The sequence below is a fragment of the Homo sapiens genome, chromosome 7 (genome assembly GCF_000001405.40).
Source record: "Homo sapiens chromosome 7, GRCh38.p14 Primary Assembly".
Classification (NCBI taxonomy): Eukaryota; Metazoa; Chordata; class Mammalia; order Primates; family Hominidae; genus Homo; species Homo sapiens.
Window position 1 is genome coordinate 51,513,048 of NC_000007.14, and position 5,461 is coordinate 51,518,508.

The 5,461-nt window shown below is 38.3% G+C and overlaps 1 annotated feature.

The window, feature by feature from the left end:
• Positions 4,662 to 4,831: an enhancer, noted in NCBI's record as "experimental_99621 CRE fragment used in MPRA reporter constructs". NCBI's record gives its function as "activates a minimal promoter by MPRAs in K562 erythroleukemia cells, with activity observed for both the introgressed and non-introgressed 7:51585491 variant alleles {active_cell/tissue: K562}" and the evidence as "EXISTENCE:reporter gene assay evidence [ECO:0000049][PMID:34662402]".

A 5,461-nucleotide genomic window follows, 5' to 3' on the forward strand; every position in this document is an offset into this window, starting at 1 on the left:
CTTTGTCATAAATTTTGAGGTCTGGTAGTGTGATGCTTCCAGCTTTGTTCTTTTTGCTGAAGATTGCTTTGGCTTTCAGGAATGTTTCAGGTTCCAAATATATTTTAGGATTGTCTTCTTCTATTTCTGTTAAGAATGTCATTGATATTTTCATACAGATTTCATTCAATCTGTCAATTGCTTTGTGTAATGTGAACATTTAAACAATGTTAATTCTTTCAATCCACAAATGTAAATATCATTCCATTTATTTGTGTGCTCCTCAATTTATTTTATCAATGTTTTATAGCTTTTATTGTGAAGATCTTTTACCTTCTCAGCTAAATTTATTCCTCAGTATTTTATCATTTGTAGTTATTGTAACTGGAATTGCTTTCTTGATGTCTTTTTCAAACAGCTTGCTATTGGCATATAGAAACACTACTGATTTTTGTATGTTTATTTTGTATCCTGCAACTTTACAGTTTATTAGTACTAACAGTTTGTGTGTGTGTGTGTGTGTGTGTGTGTGTGTAGACCTTAGGGTTTTCTATGTATATAATCATGTCATCTGCAGAGAGAGACAATTTGACTTTCTCTTTTTCAATCTGGAGGCCTTTTATTTCTTTCTCTTACCAGATCCATCTGGCTAGAACTTCCAGTACTATGTTGAGTGGAAATGGTAACAGTGAGCATCCTTGTCTTGTTCCAGATCTTAGAACAAAAGCTTTCTGTTTTTCTCTGATCAGTATAATGTTTACTATGTGTTTGTCATATATGTTTTTTTTCTTGCTTCTTCTCTAATAGTCCCATAATGCAAACATTTGTTTACTTTATGGTGCCCCATCAGTCCCATAGACTTTCTTTATTCTTTTTTTTCTTATTTCTTGTCTGATTAAGTTGTTTCAAAAGACCTAGCCAGGTGTGGTGGCTCACGCCTGTAATCCCAGCACTTTGGGAGGCCAAGGTGGGCGGATCACCTGAGGTCAGGAGGACCAGCCTGGCCAATATGGTGAAACCCTGTCTCTACTAAAAATACAAAAATTAACGGGTGTGGTGGTGGGCGCCTGTAATCCCAGCTACTCTGGAGGCTAAGGCAGGAGAATCACTTGAACCCAGGAGGTGGAGGTTACAGTGAGCCAAAATCGTACCATTGCACTACATCCTGGGCGACAAGAGGGAAACTCCCTCTGAAATAAAAAAAAAAAACAACAAAAAAACTTCAAGTTCAAAAATTCTTCATTTTGCTTGATGTAGTCTGTTGTTGAAACACTCAGTTATATTTTTTAATTCCACTCATTGAATTCTTCAGCCCCAAGATTTTTGTTTGGTTTATTTTTTGTAATATTCATCTTTGTCAAATTTCTTATTAAAAGTCACGAGTTGCTTTTCTGATTTTTTGAGCTTTTTATATGTATTATATTTCATTGAGTTTTCTTAAGAGCATTATTTTTCATTTCTTGTCAGGCATTTCACAGATTTTCTTTTTTGAGAGGGTCTGTTACTGGACAATTATTGTTTTCCTTTGAAGGTGTCATGCTTTTTCATGTTTCTTGTGTTCTTATACTGATATCTTTGCATCTCGGTGGGACAGTTGACTCTTCCAATTTTGTGGAGCAGCTTTTGTAAGGAAAGACTTTTTTTCTGTAGATGGGTCCTTGAATGTTGGTTGGGTAGTATACTTTGGCTTTGATTCTAGGTAGGTGCATTATTGTAGTCTTCACATAATTTCTTCAGCTGTAATCAGTATCAGCAGTCTCTCTGAGTGCCTCAGTGGCTTAGGCTGTAAGTATTTGTGGAGCCAGTGGCATGGCTTTGCTGGTTGTGGTGCTGCTGGGTGAGCTGGTCCTCAGGCCTTGGAGGGCAAGCACAAAGCACAGTGGTTCTGCCAGTTGCAGGGTTGGCAGTATTGGGAGTGAGTTCACTGAGGAGGCATCAGTCCCTAAGGAGGTACACAATATGGTGATTCTGCTAGTCACAGGGGCAGCCTCCCTGCTGTGAAGAATTTCCTGTTCTTTGGGTTGCAGAGATCCACTTGGGCTTGGGTGCTAGTGACATGGCTGGTCTGCTGGGTCTAGGCTTTGAGTAGCCAGGTTTGTGGTGTGGCAGCCAGTTGTGTGAGCATGGTGGAGTAACAGCAGGGCCCATCCTGCCTCCAGATGGCCCCTGCAGCAGAATGCAGTCTTGTAGTGACTTCCATCTCAAGATGGTGCTGTTTTGAAGCAGTTCGGTTCATGAAGTGCTATTCTGAAGCAGCTTGGTTCACGTGGGTTCCTTCTTTAGAGCAATGCAGCCATGTGGACTCCAGGCAGACCTGTAAGCTAGACTCAGGGCCCGTGAGAATTGTGAACTCTCCTGCAGCAAGGACTGCAGGAGTCTGTAGTGCTAATGGGGGCTTCTGGGAATCCCTTGCTTACCTTTCTCCCACAGTGAGAAGTCCCTGCTGGCTCTGAGCTGATCCTGGCTGGGAATATGGTTTTGCAGAGGCAGAAAACATCACTCCTCTCTTTATGGGGCCACTCTAGTTTCCATGCTTCACAGGGTTTCTGTCATCCTTTGCTGTATTCCAGTGTCTTCTTTAGGCACTCTAGTTGAAATGTAGTTTATTGTTGTTGTTGTTGTTCTGGTCCTTTTTTTTGTTGTAGGGGTGAACATTACACACCTCTAGCCAGCCATCTTGCTGATGTCTCTCCTCGCAGTTTTATTTTGTAATAAAAAAGTTTTAATAAAATCATTACTGACACTATTGGAAATGCCATACTATTTGCAATATATTGTTTGAACAGAGACTTTTATTTATTTCATTTTTCCTAATTTTTAAAGAAATTTTTCTTGTGGCACTGGCTAGGATCTTCAGTACAATGTTAAAAGGAGGTGGTAATTTGTTTTTGTTTCTTGTTTTGTTTCTGCATTAGTTATCATGTTTGCTCTGGATTGCTGTAAGCTATTGTTTATCAGAGTATGAAAATCCCTTTTATTCCAGCTTGCTAAGTGTATTTTTAATCATAAATATTCAATTTTACTATTTCAAAATGGTCATTTTTTTATTGTTCTATGAAAATTGATTTACTATTTTAATTATTAAAATTATTTTAAATTATTTAAAATTGATTTCTGGCCAGGCGTGGTTGCTCATGCCTGTAATCACAGAACTTTGGGAAGCTGAGGTGGGCAGATCACTTAAGATCAGGAGTTCAAGACCACCCTGGCTCAAATGGTGAAACCCCGTCTCTACTAAAAATGCAAAAATTAGCCAGGTATGTTGGCGCATGCTTGTAATCCCAGCTACTTGGGAGGCGGAGGCAGGAGAATTTCTTGAACCCAGGAGGTGGTGGTTGCAGTGAGCTGAGATCGTGCTACTGCACTCCAGCCTGGGCAACAGAGTGAGGCTGTCTCAAAAAAAAAAAAAAAGAAAGAAAAAGAAAAAAGAAAAGAAAAGAAAAAAATTGATTTTTGAGGTTGCAACATCTTTGTGTTTTTCAGAAAAGTCCTACTTGGTCATTATGCATTCTTAGTACCCTGTGGAAAATAATTTCTAGGTATTTTTATATAATATTGCTTATTTTCCTTAATGAGAGTGATTTCTAATTATATTCTCTTGTACTATCCTTTTTAAATTCTGATAGCAATCTCATAATAGCCAAATAATGAGTTGGGCGTTTTTTAGCCTTTAGAAAATCTCTTATTTTAGTTTGAATAAGAAAGAAATCAACTCTTTCCTGATTCCTTGTATGTGTTTGTGTGAGTGTTTAAGTGTGTATACATAGACTTTTGAAGAAATTAATCCCTATTGTATCTCTGGTTCTTTGTACATTATCTATTTTCCAAGTACTATGTAAATCATTCCTCTATTCTGCTGTTGTCTGAGTCCTCAGTGCAGCTCTGAGGTGAAGATTATTATCCCTGTTTTCAGATGGAGAAGGTAGGCAAAGACAGTTTATTGACTTCATCAATGTCTCTTAGCTGGTAGAACTGAGGTAAGGCTTCAAATTCACATTTGGTCTTCCAGTCAGGTTTTCTCCTGGTCCTCTGAGAGAGCAGCAACGGTTTCTTACTGGTTGCATACTTTGACAGTGACCTCTCCTTCTTTCTTTCTTTTTTTTTTGTCTTTCATGGTTCTTCTTCATTTTGTCATAAGTATCAATTGCTTTTGAATGTTAATAATTCTGTACAGGTCGCTGCTCAATGCCTACTTCATCTTATCACGAACACTTTATTGGATGTGTCTGAAGTTGAATAAAGAGATCTGGGTTCATTCACTCACTTAGAGAATCTGAAATGTATTCATTCACTTTGCATAGCACTGATGATCTCACCTCTGACTGAAGGAATCATTGTAAACAAGGGAAATATGCAAGGGGATGCTGCTATCTTATGCATTCAAATGAACACATTCAATGCCGGCTCTCCTAGGAATCTTTAGACCTTGACGAGATTCTATTTGCATTAATGGAGCTATGAAATTCAAATGTTTAGGCCAGTACCAGGGGTGTTGGAAGTGTAATGAGATGGATTAAGGAAAGAAACATTTAGTCTGATCAGGTAAATCTCTTAATGAGCTCTCCTAGACAGTGAAATTAGGAGAGAAAAATTAGTCTGGGCTGGACAAATAGGAGTCCACAGAGATGGGGAACAAGGACCTAGTACTTAATTCAAGGTTATATGATCCATCAAAACTTCCTGTGTTAACCTTCTTTGCTCCTGAAATCATTACAATGTACTATTGTTTATAACTTCTCTCTGCATACAAGTAAACTGTTTAGTTTGTAAAAATACCAAGCATTTTTTGAGTGCCAACTCTGTGCTAGGCACTTCGTCATGTAATTTAATTATCATAATCATGACTTCTCACATGAGAACTAAAGTTAATTGTGATCGTACTTTGTTTTAATTGCTTGTTGAATTGTCTGTATTCTCAACTGGAATTTAAATTCCAGAAGGCAGAAACAGGGCCTTTCTTACTCCTCACTGTATCACTGGTACTTGGCAGAATTTCGGACATATATGAGGCACTCAGGCATGGTACAATGTATTAAAGGAAGAAATGGCCTGGCTATCTCCAGCTCCCAGTCTCATTTCAGGGCCCATCCTCTGGTCTTCTGGAGCCTTTCCCATTGCTCATCCTGTATTGCATTCATCTATGAGCTTCATAAGACCTTCATTTTGTCCCCTCATGTATTCCAATGCCTACAACAAGATTTGACTTAGTATTTATTAAATTTATGTTTGAATTTATGTTTATCTCTGTGATCTATAATTTCTTTAATGATAGATGGCCATTTATTGTTTTATTTCTAGTTCTCAACACATGCCTTTTACACAAAATTTAAATGTCTGTCTTACAGAGGATGAAGGCAGGGCTCAGGGGTGTTGGAGAGAGGTTTCAGCATCCAGTAGATACCAGAACCAGAAGGGACTTAATTCTCACTTGTTCCCAAGTTCTAGTCTAGGTTTTGGAAACCCGGCTAGGATAAGTTATGTT